This window comes from Homo sapiens, chromosome 1 (assembly GCF_000001405.40).
Source record: "Homo sapiens chromosome 1, GRCh38.p14 Primary Assembly".
NCBI lineage: Eukaryota > Metazoa > Chordata > Mammalia > Primates > Hominidae > Homo > Homo sapiens.
The window spans coordinates 89152513-89172666 of record NC_000001.11 but is presented as its reverse complement, the minus strand read 5'-3'; the positions used below and the strand labels follow the sequence as shown (position 1 = coordinate 89172666).

The following is a 20154-nucleotide window of genomic DNA, read 5'->3' as shown; positions in this document are numbered from 1 at the left end:
AATCTGGCAGCAAGCACTTTAACCAAGTGATCAAAGTTAAGGCCATAGCACCAGAAAAAGTAATGTCAACATCATGAATCCCTTAATACAAGACACTGAAAATGGCAGAACATCACTTCTGTGACATTTGCAAAAAAAAATGCATAACTTCAATCAATGAGGAAACATCAGAAAACTCCAAATTGAAGGATATTCCTCAAAATCACAGGCCAGTGCTATTCTAAAATGTCAAAGACATGAAAGACAAAGAACGAATAACGAACTATCAAAGATGCAAGAAAACTACAGAAACATAATGACTAAATGCAATGAGGGATCCTGGATTGGATCATGAAGCAGAAGGACATTAGTGGGAAAATGGTGAAATGTGAATAAGGAGTGTAGATTAGTTATCATTGTATTGATGCTAAAACCCTGGTTTCAGTAATTGTTCTATGGTTAAGTAAAATATCGACATTAGGGGAAGCCAGGGAAGTGGTGTATGGGCACTCTTCATACCTATCATGCTTCTGTAAGTCTATTTCAAAATGAAATTATTTTAAAGGGCAGACAGTGGCCCAGTCTATAGGACAGCCTTAAAGGGCCACAGGTCTCCTTAGAAATGCACAAGAAACAATGTTCAAGAATAGAAAACAAAGATTTATGCCCTATTATAGATTTCAGCTCAACTGACTTACCAGACATTACTTTCCATTTCATTTTTTCCTTGCAGACAGAGGAACGCCCTGAACATGGCATCAGAGATCCACATGCCAGGCCCAGTGTGCCTCACTGAGAACACTAAAGGGCATCTGGTGGTGAATTCAGAAGCTCTGGAAATCCTGTCTGCCATTACACAGCCTGTAGTAGTGGTGGCAATTGTGGGCCTCTACCGCACAGGCAAATCCTACCTAATGAACAAGCTGGCTGGGAAGAACAAAGGTGAGTGGCACCAGCAAAGCATGGATGAGCCCCATCTGTCCAGTTACACAGTCAGTATCTAGTATGAAGATGGGATGAGAGAAAGTTAGTGTTGGGGATAAGTATTGATAGCTAACTTTGAATTCATCAGTGAACCCTTCAAATTCACTCTGGAGGATTGGAGTCAACTGACTCTTCTCACTTTGCCTTTATTTTCACATTTCATATATAAATAAGGTATTAATAAAAAAATTAAATAATAATGCATTATTAAATATTTACTAAAATATTTATGTAGTGATAGCAAGTTTCCACAGAACTTTAAGATAAAATGAATGTTTCAATCCATATTGGATATTCTAATTTCTCTATTTTTTGTAATTAAGGTCACTATTGGTTATAATTTCTCTTATCTCTTTTACATGAGACTGTTGTCCAGTGTCAGGGGCTCAGTGTGGCTTACAAAGCACCAAGCTACCAGTCAGAAGGCTGATGTTAAAGTGTAGTTTGTATGTCTTTCTAACTAAGCCAATCAGTTACTATTTCTACTCTTCAGTTTCATCATTCAGGAAATGAGTGATTTGACTACCATATCTTGAGTTCCTCTGTTAACTCACAATAACAACAGATAGTCACTCTCCAAAGAAATGAATATATTCAGGAATAAGCAGGGGATTTATAAATTCTGGAAATGCATGCTATAACAAATAATAAACTCATCTGGAAATGTTAAGGCAGTGAGAAACTTTTAAAGGCAAAAAGGAGACATATACGCCAGTTGATGTAAAATGAAAGTTCATTGGTTTACAGGATCATATTGCAGGTGGGGACATGTGCATTAGCTGTTGCTTGAGAGAGTTTTATGCATAGAACCCTGACTGCAGGGACCCTGATGGCAGCAAGTAAGGCCACTTGCAAGATTGTGGTTAGGACTGGCTATTACTGGAAGTACAGAAGTAGCCTTTGTCGCAAGGTTGTAGTTTGGCAATGTCTTAATGGCAGTTTCCACTACAAGAAAGTATACATGAAAGCCCTTCCTTCATGAACTCCTGACTCCATTTTGTTAGGGTTTGGCATAAGTGACTCCATTTTGCTTCTGACAACTTTTGCAGTTCCCCCTTTGATCAAGATCTTTCTCTGAAAGCATCTCTGATCGATCATCCTGTAGTTTTATACTTTGTGTTCCCTAGTGCTTGGATGCACTTGATTTGGTTGGTTTGGTCCCAAGTCAGGGGAAAGTGATTGGTGACTGGGAGTCATTTTCAAAACCATTTTAGCCACATTTGAGCAACAAGGAGGTTGGGAAGGAGTGGGTTTCAGGCTAATTCTACCTGGAATTCATTATTAAGTCAATTTTTTCAATTCCACATTTTCAGCATATTCTTTAAGTGCTGAGCCAGCATTATTCTGTTAGGAGTGTCGTTTCTGCAGAAGTCAGACAGGTAACAGGTACAAAGCTTAAAGAAAATAATGCAAAGCAAAACCAACAGGAGCATAACAAATTCATTTTGGATGATGGTTCTGAACCAAGAGGCCAATTAAACAAATTAAAAGACCATGTGGAACTGGGTAAGATTTTTTATAGGCATTGAGTCTTTTATGTAGTTTGATTAGTGATTCTATTATTTAGCATCTCATAACTTGGTTAAATTAAAGCCGAGAGTGCTAACTCTGTAAAAAGGGATCACTGGTACAATTTGAACAAAAAGTTGTGTTAGGAATATTGCCAAAGTGATTCACTACATGGAAGAAAGCATCTGTTAGGTCAGGTAAAGATTTGGGATTGGCATGACAGATCCAACATTCCATCAAGTACGCACAGAAGCTGCTGATTATGAAATTATAACTATAGCATTATCCTGTCAAGTGAAAAAGAAGGCACAAGCAAAGAAAATTTAAGAAGGATAAGAGTCTCATTTTTATAAGTATTGTTCTATCATTCTTAGAAAAAGCTGTCCATAGCATGAAGCCATCAACTTCTCATACTGGTTTACACACTAAATGTCTTTGGGTATGGCATTGAGTGGTTTGGTGAACTTTTTGTGTGGCCCAAACATGAGACATGAGACTCATCTCTTGAAATTTACATTGAGTTGTGTAGCTTTAGTGTATAGAGCTTCAGGAACAGAGCAGTTTTTTATTTTAGCAATTCCAGGCCAGAAAATTGGGTTGGACAAACCTAGAAGAATTCAAAATTTAGTCCAGGTTGTAGATAAATAATAATAAACTCAAAAGTAATGCATAGGGCTGCAATCTAATGACAGATGAACTATAGTTTTCCTTTCTTAATCATAAATTTTCTCCTCTAGTCGTTCCAGTTATTACCAAGATAAGGTTTCTTTGTTTGCAGAATAAATTTAACCTCATCAAACAAAGCCTGATTATTTATACAAGTACAGCAAGAACAGTCATGAGGCTCTTTTAAGTTTGCTTCGTTGACACTTTAAGCCAATTAAATAGAGCTCTTTCACATATCTTGGGAAAATTATTACATACACAAAACATGCAAACATAAATACATACACAAGCAAAGGTCACAGGGTTTTTCACTTTAAAAATTTTAGTCATAACATGGTAAAACAGAGATACAAACTCACTTGTTTGTAAAAAGGACAGCTAAATCCAAACTTATTTTTCTGAAAAAACAGAATAAGTTAAGGTTACTTGCTCAAATGGCTAACCTTTTGAGATTTTCCATTTGCCTTTAACTGTTAATTCTATGGAGGCTGTGGACTAAATTTGGGGTAAACTGCAGCTTCCACAGGAGTTTTTTTGTTTTTTGTTTTTTTTTTAACTTGAGGCGGAGTTTCGCTCTTGTTGCCCAGGCTGGAGTGCAATGGCGAGATCTCAGCTCACCGCAACCTCCGCCTCCCGGGTTCAAGCGATTCTCCTGCCTCAGCCTTCTGAGTAGCTGGGATTACAGGAGCCCGCCACCATGCCTGGCTACCGTTTTTTGTTGTTGTTGTTGTTGTTGTTGTTGTTGTTTGTATTTTTAGTAGAGACAGGGTTTCTCCATGTTGGTCAGGCTGGTCTTGAACTCCTGACCTCAGGTGATCCACCCGCCTTGGCCTCCCAAAATGCTGGGATTACAGGTGTGAGCCACCACACCTGGCCAGTTTGGTTTTAAGTATAAAAATATTTGTCTTCCTTTTAAAAAAAATCAGTCTCAAATGAGTATAGTGGTTAATTCATCAGGTGTTTATATTTTAGCTAGAGCTGGTGGAAAAATACATGCTCCAAGCAGTCTTGAATTTAGTAACAAATTTACCTTTCTTTTGTTTGCGTTTTGCTTTGCTCAACTAGTCAGCATGGGTGGAAAATATTTTAGGAATATTTTTTAAAAGGTTATTTTCAGTTTTTCTGTTTTCTCTGGTCCATATGGAAGTGAAGACATTTTCTACTCACAGAGAGACCTATTATTACTCTGAGCTCTAGATTTTGGCCAAAGCACAAAGGGGTTAAAAAGCAGACCTAGTTGACTGGAGAGCCTAACTTTTATAAATACTTATCTAGTTCTTTTCCTTTTTTTTCTCCTTAGGAATGGGTAGGTAACCAAGCGAAAAAGTAAGAGGAAAAATAGAGCAAAAATAGAGAAGTTAGAAGCCTCTATATGCCAATCAGAAATACATCTCATTGTTTCTGAGATGTTTGGGATCCCTTCCAATTTTAAATGCTCTTCTTAAAGTGCAGTTCTTGAAAGTTCATCTGGAATGTTCCACATAATGGCCATTGTAATTCTAAACTACTGTTGGTGTAATTTCCCCATCAATTGAGAAGTGTGCATGAGATGGACCATAAATATAGCTGGCTAGAGTCCCAGGAGAAAGATTATTCTGACATGCCTTTAAATTTGAGTATCTCATTTTGTTTCTCATTAATCTCTGAAGAGAAAAAAATAAAATCCTATGAATCTGGTTGGGAATGTCAGGAGTTTGGACTCGTGTTTTGTTTCACAATGTACCTGGTCCAGGGTATTTATTTTAGTTGGTGGACAGTCATTGCCTTAGTTGTCCAACCCATGACCACATTTTCCCTGCTGCATGGACATTTTCTTAAGTGTGGCAGATGCTCTAATGGTAACCTTGCCCATCCATGGCCAGTTTACCTTCACACAAAATACTTTATCTTCAGAGACTGGAGTCCCTCATTAATGATGGCACTGCTTTAATTGCTTTAAATTGGTCAACCCATGCCTATGTTTGGTACGTTTATTTTTGCTCTTGGCAGATGTTCAGAAGTAAGAAAACACTCAATTCACCAAATTTTTAAATCAAGCAGGCAGACCAAACAAAATATTAAACCAGGCATGCAGAAGTTAAAACAAACAAACAAACAAAAAAACACAGAGTACTCACCAGAAGGACAATGTTCTTATCTTGTGAAGGGCTTCCCAGAAAAGACAAAGTTGTTTTTAGGCTAAGAAGGGATTCAAGGCCTTTTATTGAGGTGACCTTATCCAAATAAGATCCTGAACTAGACAAAAAGAAGGGATTTTAACCCAAGGGGAGACTCAACACAGTAGAAAAGGTCAGCTGTGGAAATGAAGAAATCAAAGGGCTCAACAAGTGAATACCATGCATGGTTTCAGGGGCTGATGATCATTCCAAGATGAGCTCACTTTGGGTCCTACTTCTGATGCCAGATTATGTCAAGCTAAAATAACAAGAGAGAAAGTAGTTCTCCAAAGAAATGAGTTTATTTAAGAATGAGCAGGGGACCATATGCATACCAAATTCAGGTATGCACATTATAATAAATCATAGGTGCATCCAGGGTGGTTGAGACGTGGGAAAGTTTAAAGACAGAAAGGAGAAGTACATGCAGGGTGTTCTGAAACAAAAGTTTATTTGTTTACAGGAGCTTACTCACAGGACTTAATATGTGTGCTGGCTCTTGCCAAGAGAGAGTCTTCACAGAAGGCACCCTGATTGCAGGGACTCTGATTGCAAGTTAGACCACTTGCAAGTTTACAGTTAGGACTGGCTATTACTGGAAAGATGTCCTCAGAACATTAGCCTTTGTTGCAAGGTTGTGGATTGGCAACATCTTCAATGGAAGTTCCCATCACAGGAAAGTGTGTGCGAGAGCTTTTCCTTCATGGTCTGCTGACTTCATTTCATTCAAGTTTGGCATTTTGATGCTGACAACTTTCACACTTTCCGCCTTTAAAATTCTAGAACTCTTTTACTAGTCCAAGGTATAACTTTTTAATTCCTGCGGTATTCTAATACCTCATGGATTTTCTTAAATATTTTCCTGATTTTTGTCATCATCCATCTGAAACACTTCAGTGGGTTCTGTTACTAACAAATCTGGTCTTACTGGGCTACATATTCAGGGGTTCAAATCACAGACTCCTCAACTACATTTCAAGATTTTATTCTCACTACTCCACTCCTGGAAGCCATTTCAACAGACTGTACTAGAGTGGATGCTTTATACTGTCCTTCCCATGTCAGAATCTCCTCTATTTGGATAACCTTCTGTTAACGTGGGACCTGCATAAGGAAAAAGAATCACTACATGAAGATGAACCCAGTACCCGGACCTCTTGTATCAGCCCTCTCTCTAATTTTACTTATGAATGCATGCTTTTTTCTTCCTCTTGAGTGTTGCATAAAAATACACAGGTATCTTAGTTTGTGTCTGCCACTATGACAAAATACATTAGACAGGGTAATTTAGAAATAATAAAAACTTATTTCTCGTAGATCTGGAGGTTGGGAAGTCCAAGATTAAGGCACAAGGAGATTCAGTGTCTAGTGAGGGCTTGTTACTCATAGAGGGGGTTTCCCACTGTCCCCATATGGCAGAACGGGCAGAAGGAACAATGAAATTGGTCTTTTTATATATGTACTTTAAGTTCAGGGATATATGTGCAGAACATGCAAGTTTCTTACGTAGGTATACACGTGTCACGGTGGTTTGCTGCACCCATCAACCCATCATCTGCATTAGGCATTTCTCCTAATACTATCCCTCCCCTAGCCCCCACCCCCCAACAGGCCCTGTTGTGTGATGTTCCCCTCCCTGTGTCCATGTGTCCCCATTGTTGGACCCCCACTTAGGAGTGAGAACATGTGATGTTTGGTTTTCTGTTCCTGCGTTAGCTTGCTGAGAATGATGGTTTCCAGCTTCATCCATGTCCCTGCAAAGGACATGAACTCATCCCTCAAGGCCTTTTATAAGGGCATTAACTTTATTACTGAGGACATGACCCTTCATGACTTAATCACTTCTGGCTTTTTTTTTTTTTCTTTTTTTTTGAGACGGAGTCTCACTCTGTCACCAGGCTGGAGTGCAGTGGCACAATCTCAGCTCACTGCAATCTCTCTGCCTCCTGGTTTCAAGCGACTCCCCTACCTCAGCCTCCCAAGTAGCTGGGACTACAGGCGTGCACGACCATGCCTGGCTAATTTTTTGTATTTTAGTAGAGACAGGATTTCACCATGTTGGCCAGGATGGTCTCTATCTTCTGACTTTGTGATTCACCTGCCTCGGCCTCCCAAAGTGTTGGGATTACAGGTGTGAGCCACCACACCCAGCCCACTTCTGACTTCTTAATATCATCACCTTGGGGTTTGGTTTCAGACTTCACTGAAGTTCCAACGTATGAAAGGAGGATTGGAGGGACTAACTTCAGACCATAGCAACAGGTTAATAGAGTTTACATTAATTCTGTAATATAACTTATTTGAGCCCATATAGATATGAAGTGAATAAGGGACCCAAGTACCTCCTGAGAAAGTCATTTATACAAATAAAGATTTGATTGATTGTCTTTGCTGAAATGGAAGCAACCCGTTTCCCCTGCCAGGAACTTAACGTTCCTATACATTTAACTGGTATAGGCCTTGTCTGCCTGGATTCTGCTGTCACTATATGTTGTTTCTCCTCTTCCCTTGAAGGCTTCCCTCTGGGCTGCACAGTGAAGTCTGAAACCAAAGGCATCTGGATGTGGTGTGTGCCCCACCCCTCCAAGCCAAACCACACCCTGATCCTTCTGGACACGGAGGGCCTGGGTGATATGGAAAAGGTAAGAAAGAGACATAGAGAAATCTTCTTTACCTTTGATTCTCTATTTATGTTTTTATGCATAGTATCAATCCAACTTCTCTGGCCTATTCCTGAATCACAAATCTGATTATGGGAAACAAAGCTAAATTTCATTTTCTGGAACTTACTTTCTTGGTAAGCACAAATATTTTGGACTATTGGTGATACATCTTCTTATTTTTAACAGTTGGATGAATTATAAAATTTAATAAATACTGCATGGCAGAAGTCTAGGGCTGTGTGCTATATTAATAAAGAATCCTGAATTTCAAAGCTCTACGCTAATCAATGAACCAGGTAAATGCTCAGAGCCTAGTGGCGAAGACAACATTGTGACCATTTAGAGTGCTCAGATGCTGAAAGTGAGGGCCTAACCTAATGATACAATTTAGGAGAAAGCTTCCTGGAAGAAGCTGTAACCTGTGGGATTAATGGGTGCTACTAGTTAAGGTGTGTGGGGTTTGTAGGCTTGAAGGTAGAATCAGGAAAATAGAGTTTCACTGAAATAACCTGTTTTTAAATGTCTAGAAAAGCACTAGCTAGCCGGGCACGGTGGCTCACACCTGTAATCCCAACACTTTGCAAGGCCGAGGCGGGTGGACCATCTGAGGTCAGAAGTCCGAGACCAGCCTAGCCAACATGGTGAAACCCCATCTCTACTGAAAATGCAAAAATTAGCCCAGCGCAGAGGCGGGCACCTGTAATCCCAGCTATTCAGGAGGCTGAGGCAGGAGTATCGCTTGGACCCGGGAAGTGGAGGTTGCACTGAACCGAGATCATGCCACTGCACTCCAGCCTGAGTGACAGAGTGAGACTCCATCTCAAAAACAAAACAAACAAACAAACAAAAAACAAAAAAAAAAGAAAGAAAAAGAAAAGAAAACCACCAGCTATACCGGGAACATTTATAAAATTTTTACCCAATTTACTGGGCTAGGCAATGTAGTCATCACTGACTTCTAGAATAGTGTGAGCTAGCCCCACACAAAAATTTGCAAATTGGCTAATTCTAGATAATTTTGCTTTATAGTATTAAGTGCAGTCTTTTCCTTTATTTATATTAGTCTGAGTATAAATTGAAAATAGGATTAGTCAGAAACGACAGGGGGATGGTTACCACTGACCCCACATAAATACAATATTAAGAAAACCTCCATGGACATAAACTAGACAATCTACACAAAATGGACAAATTTGTTGACACATATACCCTCTCAAGACTTAACTGGGAAGAAATTGAATCCCTGAACAGACAAATGATGAGCTCTGAAATTGAGGCAGTAATAAATAGCCCACCTACCAAAAAAAAAAAAAGCCCAGAAACAGATGGATTCATAGCTGAATTTACCAGATGTACAAAGAAAAGCTGGTAGCATTCCTACTGAAAATATTCCAAAAAATTGAGGAGGAGGCACTCCTCCCTAACTCATTCTATGGGGCCAGCATCATCCTGATACCAAAACCTGGAAGAGATACAACAACAAAAGAGAAAATTTCAGGCCAATATCCTTGATAACATCAATGCAAAAATCCTCAACAAAATACAGGCAAACTAAATCCAGCAACACATCAAAAAGCTTATCCACCATGATCAAGTAGGCTTTATCCCTGGAATGCAAGAATGGATCAAGATATGCAAATCAATAAATGTGATTCATCCCATAAACAGAAATAAAGACAAAAACCACACAATTATCTCAATAGATGCAGAAAATGTTTTCAATAAAATTCAAAGTCCATTCATGGTAAAAACTCTCAATAAACTAGGTATTGAAGGAACATAGCTCAAAATGATAAGAGCCATATATGACAAACCCACTGTCAACATCATACTAAATGGGCAAAAGCTGGAAGCATTCCTCTTGAAAACCGGCACAAGACAAGGATGCCCTCTCTCACCACTCCTGTTCAACATAGTATTGGAAGCCTTGGCCAGGACAATCAGGCAAGAGAAAGCAATAAAGGGCATCCAAACAGGAAAAGAGGAAGTCAAACTCTTGCTGTTTGTCAATGACATGATTATATGTCTAGAAAACCCCCCAGTCTCAGCCCAAAAGCTTCTTAAGCTGATAAACAACTTCAGCAAAGTCTCAGGATACAAAATCGATATGCAAAAATCACTAACATTCCTATACACCAACCACAGTCAAGCTGAAAGCCAAATCAGGAACAAACTCCCATTCATAATTGCTGCTTAGGAATACAGCTAACTAGGGAGGTAAAAGACCTCTCCAAGGAGAACTACAAACCACTGCTCCAAGAAATCAGAGATGACACAAATAAATGGAAAAACATTCCTTCCTCATGGAGAGACAGAATCAATATTGTTAAAATTACCTTACTGCCCAAAGCAATTTATAGATTCAATGCTATTCCTATTAAACTACCATTGAGATTCTTCACAGAATTAGAAAAAAACTGTTTTTAAAAAATTCATATGGGACAGAAAAAGAGCTCAGGCAAAAAATAGCCAACGCAATTCTAAGCAAAAAGAACAAAGCTGGATGCTACTCGACATCAAACTATACTACAGGGCTACAGTAACCAAAATACATGGAACTGGTACAAAAACAGACACATAGACCAATGGAACAGAACAGATAACCCAGAATTTAAGACTGCACAACTACAACTATCTGATCTTTGACAAACCTGAAAAAAAAAAAAAGCAATGGGGAAAAGATTCCCTATTCAATAAATGGTGCTGGGATAACAGGCTAGCCATATGCAGAAGATTGAAATTGGACCCTTTACTTAGACCATATACAAAAGTTAACTCAAGATGGATTAAAGACTTAAATATACAACCCAAAACTATAAAAACCCTGGAAAACCACCCTGGCCATATCATTCAGGACATAGGCATGGGCAAAGATGTCACGATGAAGACACCAAAAAAGCTATAGTAACAAAAGCAAAAATTGACAAATGGGAACTAACTAAAGAGCTTCTGCACAGCAAAAGAAACCATCAACAGAGTAAACAAACAACCTAAAGAATGGGAGAAAATATTTGCAAACTCTGCAGCTGACAAAGGACTAATATCCAGCATCTATAAGGAACGTAAACAAATTCACACACACAAAAAAATACATTAAAAAGTGGGCAAAAGACATGAACAGACACTTTTCAAAAGAAGACATACATGCAGCCAACAATCATATGGAAAAAAAAAAGCTTAACATCACTGACCATTAGAGAAATGCAAATCAAAACCACAATACTATCATGATCACACCAGTCAGAATGGCTATTATTAAAAAGTCAAAAAATAACAGATGCTGGTTAGGTTGTAGAGAAATAGGAACACTTATCCATTGTTGGTGGGAGTGTAAATTAGTTAAACCATTGTGGGAGACAGTGTGGCAACTACTCAAAGACCTAAAGACAGAACTACCATTTGACCCAGCAATGCCATTACTGGGTATGTACCCAAAGGACTATAAATTGTTCTATTATAAAGATACGTGTACGTGAATATTCATTATGGCACAATAGCAAAGACATGGCATCAATTTAAAGGCCCATAAATGATAGACTAGATAAAGAAAATGTGGTACATATACACTATGGAATACTATGCAGCCATAAAAGAAGAACAAGATCATTTGCAGGGTATGGATGGAGCTGGAGGTCATTATCCTTAGCAAATGGATGCAGGAACAGGAAACCAAATACCACATGTTCTCACTTATAAGTGGGAGCTAAATGATGAGAACACATGGACACATAGAGGGAAACAACACACATTGGAGCCTATCTGAGGGTGGATAATGGGAGGAGGGAAAAGATCAAGAAAAAAAACTAATGCGTACTTGGCTAAATACCTGGGAGATGAAATAATATATGCAACGAACCCCCATGACACAAGTCTACCTATGTAACAAATCCCTGTTGTGCAGTATGAAAGCCAAAACATACTAATTCTATTTTTTTCAAAAGAAATTTTTTTAAGTGTTGTTTTTAAGCATTTGGAAAGGAAAGAAATAAGCCTTTATTGTGACGAAATTATTTCTTTTTTGTCACCTCTATTTCTAATTTTAGTTATTTACTAAACACATATAGCACTAACTATGTGCCAGGAACTATTCTAAGCACTCAGTAAATAATAACTTGTTTAATCATACAACGACCCTATGAAATATGTACTATTATTATCCCTACTCGACAGATAAGGACACTGAGTAGAGAGAGGTCAAGAAACTTGCCCACGGTCACACAGCTACCAGCAGTCAAGCTGGAATCTAAGCCAGGCATCCCATCTGTGAAATCTGTGTTCTTCACTTTGCTTCCTCCCTAAGTGAAATTTTAAAATCTTCACATATGAGGAAGTTAAGGTACATTTTTTTTATTATACTTTAAGTTCTAGGGTACATGTGCACAATGTGCAGCTTTGTTACATATGTACACACGTGCCATGTTGGTGTGCTGCACCCATTAACTTGTCATTTACATTAGGTATATCCCCTAATGCTATCCCTCCACACTCCCTCCACCCCACAGCAGGCCCCAGTGTGTGATGTTCCTCACCCTGTGTCCAAGTGATCTCATTGTTCAATTCCCACCTATGAGTGAGAACATGCGGTGTTTGCTTTTCTGACCTTGTGATAGTTTGCTCAAAATGATGGTTTTCAGCTTCATCCATGTCCCTGCAAAGGACATGAACTCATCCTTTTCTATGGCTGCATGGTATTCCATGGTATATATGTGCCATGTTTTTTTACTCCAGTCTATCGTTGATGGACATTTGGGTTGGTTCCAAATCTTTGCTGTTGTGAATAGTGCCAAAATAAACATACGTGTGCATGTGTCTTTATAGTAGCGTGATTTATAATCCTTTGGGTGTATACCCAGTAATAGGATGGCTGGGTTAAATGGTATTTCTAGTTGTAGATCCTTGTGGAATCACCACGCCGTCTTCCACATGGTTGAACTAGATTACGGTCCCACCAACAGTGTAAAAGTGTTCCTATTTCTCCACATCCTCTCCAGCACCTGTTGTTTCCTGACTTTTTAATGATTGCCATTCTAACTGGTGTGACATGGTATCTCACTGTAGTTTTGATTTGCATTTCTCTGATGGCCAGTGATGATGATCATTTTTTCATGTGTCTGTTGGCTGCATAGATGTCTTCTTTGAGAAGTGTCTGTTCATATCCTTCGCCCACTTTTTGATGGGGTTGTTTGATTTTTTTCTTGTAACTTTGTTTAAGTTCTTTGTATATACTGGACATTAGCCCTTTGTCAGATGGGTAAATTGTAAACATTTTCTCCCCTTCTGTAGGTTGCCTGTTCACTCTGATGGTACTTTCTTTTGCTGTGCAGAAGCTCTTTAGTTTAATTAAATCCCATTTGTCTATTTTGGCTTTTGTTGCCATTGCTTTTGGTGTTTTAGTCATGAAGTCTTTGCCCATGCCTATGTCCTGAATGGTATTGCCTAGGTTTTCTTCTAGGGTTTTTATGGTTTTAGGTCTAACATTTAAGACTTTAATCCATTTCAATTAATTTTTTTATAAGGTGTAAGGAAGGGATCCAGTTTCAGCTTTCTACATAGGGCTAGCCAGTTTTCCCAGCACCATTTATCAAATAGGGAATCCTTTCCCCATTTCTTGTTTTTGTCAGGTTTGTCAAAGATCAGATGGTTGTAGATGTGTGGTATTATTTCCGAGGGCTCTGTTTTGTTCCATTGGTCTATATCTCTGTTTTGGTACCAGTACCATGCTGTTTTGCTTACTGTAGCCTTGTAGTATAGTTTGAAATCGGGTAGTGTGATGCCTCCAGCTTTGTTCTTTTGGCTTAGGATTCTCTTGGCAATGCGGGCTCTTTTTGGTTCCATATGAACTTTAAAGTAGTTTTTTTTCCAATTCTGTGAAGAAAGTCATTGGTAGCTTGATGGGGATGGCATTGAATCTATAAATTACCTTGGGCAGTAGGGCCATTTTCACGATATTGATTCTTCCTATCCATGAACATGGAATGCTCTTCCATTTGTTTGTGTCCTCTTTTACTTCATTGAGCAGAGGTTTGTAGTTCTCCTTGAAGAGGTCCTTCACATCCCTTGTAAGTTGGATTCCTAGGTATTTTATTCTCTTTGAAGCAATTGTGAATGGGAGTTCACTCATGATTTGGCTTTCTGTTTGTCTGTTATTGGTGTATAAGAATGCTTGTGATTTTTGTACATTGATTTTGTATCCTGAGACTTTGCTGAAGTTGCTTATCAGCTTAAGGAGATTTTGGGCTGAGACAATGGGGTTTTCTAGATATACAATCATGTCATCTGCAAACAGGGACAATTTGATTTCCTCTTTTCCTAACTGAATACCCTTTATTTCCTTCTCTTGCCTAATTGCCCTGGCCAGAACTTCCAACACTATGTTGAATAGGAGTGGTGAGAGAGGGCATCCCGTCTTGTGCCACTTTTCAAAGGGAATGCTTCCAGTTTTTGCCCATTCAGTATGATGTTGGCTGTGGGTTTGTCATAAATAGCTCTTATTATTTTGAAATACATCCCATCAACACCTAGTTTATTTAGAGTTTTAAGCATGAAGGGCTGTTGAATTTGTCCAAGGCCTTTTCTGAATCTATTGAGAAAATCATGTGGTTTTTGTCTTTGGTTCTGTTTACATGATGGATTACGTTTATTGATTTGCATGTGTTGAACCAGCCTTGCATCCCAGGGATGAAGCCAACTTGATCGTGGTGGATACACTTTTTGATGGGCAGCTGGATTTGGTTTGCCAGTATCTTATTGAGGATTTTTGCACTGATGTTCATCAGGGATATTTGTCTAAAATTCTCTTTTTTTGCTGTTGTGTCTCTGCCCGGCTTTGGTATCAGGATGATGCTGGCCTCATGAAATGAGTTAGGGAGGATTCACTGTTTTTCTACTGATTGGAATAGTTTCAGAAAGAATGGTACCAGCTCCTGCTTTTACCTCTGGTAGAATTCAGCTGTGAATCTGTCTGGTCCTGGACTTTTTTTTTTTGGTTGGGAGGCTATTAATTATTGCCTCAATTTCAGAGCCTGCTATTGGTCTATCAAGAGATTCAACTTCTTCCTGGTTTAGTCTTGGAGGGTGTGTATGTCCAGGAATTTATCCATTTCTTCTAGATTTTCTAGTTTATTTGGTAGAGGTGTTTATACTATTCTCTGATGGTAGTTTGTATTTCTGTGGGATCGGCGGTGATATGCCCTATATCGTTTTTTATTGCATCTATTTGATTCTTCTCTCTTTTCTTCTTTATTCGTCTTGGTAGTGGTCTATCAATTTTGTTGATCTTTTCCAAAAACCAGCTCCTTGATTCATTGATTTTTTGAAGGGTTTTTTTGTGTCTCTATCTCCTTCAGCTCTGCTCTGATCTTAGTTATTTCTTGCCTTCTGCTAGCTTTTGAATGTGTTTGCTCTTGCTTCTCTAGTTCTTTTAATTGTGATGTTAGGATGTCAATTTTAGATCTTTCCTGCTTTTTCTTATGGGCATTTAGTGGTATAAATTTCCCTCTACACACTTCTTTAAATGTGTCCCAGAGATTCTGGTATGTTGTGTCTTTCTTCTCATTGGTTTCAAAGAACATCTTTATTTCTGCCTTCATTATGTTATGTACCCAGTAGTCATTCAGGAGACAGTTATTCAGTTTCCATGTAGTTGAGTGGTTTTGAGTGAGTTTCTTAATCCTGAGTTCTAGTTTGATTGCACTGTGGTCTGAGAGACAGTTTGTCATAATTTCTGTTCTTTTACATTTGCTGAGGAGTGCTTTACTTCCAACTATGTGGTCCATTTTGGAATAAGTGCGATGTGGTGCTGAGAAGAATGTATATTCTGTTGATTTGGGGTGGAGAGCTCTGATGTCTATTAGGTCCTCTTCATGCAGAGCTGAGTTCAATTACTGGATATCTTTGTTAACTTTCTGTCTCATTGATCTGTCTAACGTTGACAGTGGGGTGTTAAAGTCTCCCATTAGTATTGTGTGGGAGTCTAAGTCTCTTTGTAGGTCTCTAAGGACTTGCTTTATGAATCTGGGTGCTCCTGTATTGGGTGCATATATATTTAGGATAGTTAGCTCTTGTTGTTGAATTGATCCCTTTATCATTATGTAATGGCCTTCTTTGTCTCTTTCAGTCTTTGTTTGTTTAAAGTCTGTTTTATCAGAGATGAGGATTGCAACCCCCGCTTTTTTTGTTTGTTTTCCATTTGCTTGGTAGATCTTCCTCCATCCCTTTATCTTGAGACTATGTGTGTCTCTGCTCATGAGATGGGTCTCTTGAATACAGCACACTGATGGGTCTTGTCTCTTTATCCAATTTGCCAGTCTGTGTCTTTTAATTGGAGCATTTAGCCCATTTACATTTAAGGTTAATATTGTTATGTGTGAATTTGATCCTGTCATTATGATGTTAGCTGGTTATTTTGCTAGTTAGTTGATGCAGTTTCTTCCTAGCATAGATGGTCTTTACAATTTGGCATGCTTTTGCAGTGGCTGATACTGGCTGATCCTTTCTATGTTTAGTGCTTCCTTCAGGAGTTCTTGTAAGGCAGGCCTGGTGGTGACAAAATCTCTCAGCATTCGCTTGTCTGTAAAGTATTTTATTTATCCTTCACTTATGAAGCTTAGTTTGGCTGGATATGAAATTCTGGGTTGAAAATTCTTTTAAGAATGTTGAATATTGGCCCCCACTCTCTTCTGGCTTGTAGAGTTTCTGCCAAGAGATCTGCTATTAGTCTGATGGGCTTCCCTTTGTGGGTAACCTGACCTTTCTCTCTGGCTGCCCTTAACATTTTTTCCTTCATTTCAACTTTGGTGAATCTGACAATTATGTGTCTTGGAGTTGCTTTTCTCGAGGAGTATCTTTGTGGCATTCTGTGTATTTCCTGAATTTGAATGTTGGCCTGCCTTGCTAGGTTGGGGAAGTTCTCCTGGATAATATCCTGAAGAGTGTTTTCCAACTTGGTTCCATTCTCCCCATCACTTTCAGGTACACCAGTCAGACAGAGATTTGGTCTTTTCACATGGTCCCATATTTCTTGGAGGCTTTGTTCATTTCTTTTTACTCTTTTTTCTCTAAACTTCTCTTCTCACTTCATTTCATTCATTTGATCTTCAATCACTGTTACCCTTTCTTCCACTTGATCAAATTGGCTACTGAAGCTTGTGCATGCATCACGTAGTTCTCGTGCCATGCTTTCCAGCTCCATCAGGTTATTTAAGGTCTTCTCTATGCTGTTTATTCTAGTTAGCCATTCGTCTAATCTTTTTTCAAGGTTTTTAGCTTCTTTGTGATGGGTTCGAACATCCTCCTTTAGCTTGGAGAAGTTTGTTACTACTGATTGTCTGAAGCCTTCTTCTCTCAACTTGTCAAAGTCATTCTCTATCCAGCTTTGTTCCATTGCTGGCGAGGAGCTGCATTCCTTTGGAGGAGAAGGGGTGCTCTGATTTTTAGAATTTTCAGCTTTTCTGCTCTGGTTTCTCCCCATCTTTGTGGTTTTATCTACCTTTGGTCTTTGCAATGGTGATGCACAGATGGGGTTTTGGTGTGGATGTCCTTTCTGTTTGTTAGTTTTCCTTCTAACAGTCAGGGCCTTCAGCTGCAGGTCTGTTGGAGTTTGCTGGAGGTCCACTCCAGACCCTGTTTGCCTGGGTATCACCAGTGGAGGCTGCAGAACAGCAAGTATTGCAGAATGGCAAATGTTGCTGCCTGATCCTTCCTCCGGAAGCTTTGTCCCAGAGGGGCACCCGGCTGTTTGAGGTGTCAGTCGGCCCCTACTGGGAGGTGCCTCCCAGTTAGGCTACTCGGGGGTCGGGGACCCACTTGAGGAGGCAGTCTGTCCATTCTCAGATCTCAAACTCTGTGCTGGGAGAACCACTACTCTCCTCAAAGCTGTCAGACAGGAATGTTTTCTTTATTTTTTTTAAATTTTATTAACTTTCATGGTATTTCATTAAGTTCAGGGGCACCACTGGACTTAAAATATTTTTTAACTTCTTTATTTTATTTTATTTTATTTTATTTAGTTTGGGGGTAAGCCTGAACTTAAATTTAAAGTTAAAAAAAAAAAAAGGAAAATAGAGGCCAGGTGTGGTCGCTCACACCTGTAATTCCAGCACTCTGGGAGGCCAAGGTGGGTGGATCACCTGAGGTCAGGAGTTCAAGACCAGCCTGGCTAACATGGTGAAATCCCATCTCTATTAAAAATACAAAAATTAGCTGGGCATGATGGCAGGTGCCTGTGATCCCAGCTATTTCAGAAGCTGAGGTGGAAGAATTGCTTGAACCCAGAAGGTGGAGGTTGTAGTGTTTGCACCATTGCACTGCAGCCTGGGCAACAGAGCAAGTCTCCATCTCAAAAAAAAGAAAAAAAGAAAATAGAATTTTTGGCTTTCATACTGCAAAAATTATAAATGTGTGTGGGGTCTCATTTAGAAACAGTGAATTTAAACATACAGTACTAAAGTTATCAATCATCATTTCAGTGTACAACAAAGATAAAATATTGATTTGAAATAGATTGTAATGGGCATAAACTTTTTTATTTGCAAAAGTATGACTGTTCAAGGGACCAAAATATACAAATATATACATGCTTGATGGAAGCAAAATTACTTGTTGGCCTTGGAATTTGTGGATTTGGTCAGCATTTAATTCTATTTAAGGGACCTTCATGTCTTGCCCTGAATATTATTTCCAGCCTTGTCTTCTCCACATACCTATTCACTCATTCAGTTGAATTAAATAACTCTGTAATGTCATTATATGATCATACCCTAACAATTTTGACTTGGGTTCTGTTGGGTCTCTCACCTTTTTAATTCTTTCATTTCCACAAGTCCTGATTTTATGTACTCCTTAACGTCCAGCTCGTTTCAACCTACTGCCATCTTATTTGAGTTAGACATAGTAACTTCTTGCTTGAACTCATAGAGCATTTGTTTCTCTTTATTTTCCTTCCTTCTCACTTCCCATTTTTTGGATTGTTGTCTGTTTTGTTTTTTACATTACGACTTTTGTTCCACTCCTGGCAGAAGTTATCATCTTGGTTGCATTTTTATGTTGACAATGCTATCTGCCACTCCTGAAAGTCATCTTCTTGTGATTATGGAACTTTGCATCCACAAAATCAAAGGCAGCATCTGCATTTTGTACATAGCTGAACAATTTTTGGTGAATTCAATTGATTAACATTGGCATTCCTAATATAGGCATGATTGAGAAAATTTGCAAAAGGATTATTGTTCACTAATTACTACATACTTACTATGCTGTAGGCACTGCATTAAATATTTTACACATTGACAGTGTCAATTGCTACTTTTAATATCTAAAGAAAGAGAAGCCCTGAGAAAATCAATATAAATGGCAAAAATACAGCTTGACTTTAACATGATCTTCAAAATTCATATTACATGCCCTACTATTCAGCTATATATACTACAGCTGAAATAGTGAATGAACAACCAAATGAATGAATTAATAAGTGAATGAATCAAAAGGAGACTCTTAAGTCCTATCTGTAATGTGCTTTCTAGTGTCACAAACAATATCAGATTAAGTTTGGAAAAATTTAAGTTTATTGCATACAAAAAGTAGAGAGCATCATTCAGGAGACTTCATACCAAGATGCTCTCCTCATAATGGTTACAGCACCACTGATAAAGCATAAAGGAAGAAATATATTTACTTATCGTGTGATTGGCTTTATACATTAACAATATTTTTAGGGCAAATAGAGATGTTTAGGTGCTTTTTCTATAGCTGATTTATTTAATTTCACTGAATCATGCTGGCAAGCATATAAAGCTTACATTTGTGTTTCCTTTAGACACAGCATTTTGGGAAAACTGGAATGACTTCAGTTTTGGTTACATGGATACAAGTAGTTGACCTTGAGATGTATCTAAACTGTGGCTTCCATTTTTTTTTTTTTTTTCTTTAACACTAGAGTGACCCTAAGAGTGACTCGTGGATCTTTGCCCTGGCTGTGCTTCTAAGCAGCAGCTTTGTCTACAACAGCATGGGCACCATCAACCACCAGGCCCTGGAGCAGCTGCAGTATCCTTCCAGGAAGTGAAGAGCCAGGTTTTATGGAGTTTAGGGGAATGGAAACTGATACTGTGTCTTCTTTGTTGTGACTCAGTTGTCCTGGTTGAGTAAGAAGAGAAACAGTGCAAAAGGGAATGTGTATAAAACTTGTTTCTAAGTGAGAT

The 20154-nt window shown here is 38.7% G+C and overlaps 1 protein-coding gene and 1 long non-coding RNA gene across 3 annotated transcripts in view; one reads left to right on the top strand and one right to left on the bottom strand.

Annotated features, from left to right (window-relative positions):
- LOC105378842 (uncharacterized) overlaps positions 1-20154 on the bottom strand; it is a 51385-nt gene that overhangs the window by 7132 nt on the left and 24099 nt on the right. The gene's annotated exons all lie outside the window — the stretch shown is intronic.
- Positions 1-20154, top strand: part of GBP7 (guanylate binding protein 7) — a 44262-nt gene that overhangs the window by 3337 nt on the left and 20771 nt on the right. Inside the window, exons 2-4 of the mRNA NM_207398.3 lie at positions 713-921; positions 7809-7936; positions 19890-19999. Of these exons, the coding sequence (NP_997281.2) occupies positions 732-921; positions 7809-7936; positions 19890-19999 (428 nt within the window). The 5' untranslated portion in view covers positions 713-731. The remainder of the gene's footprint in view (positions 1-712; positions 922-7808; positions 7937-19889; positions 20000-20154) is intronic.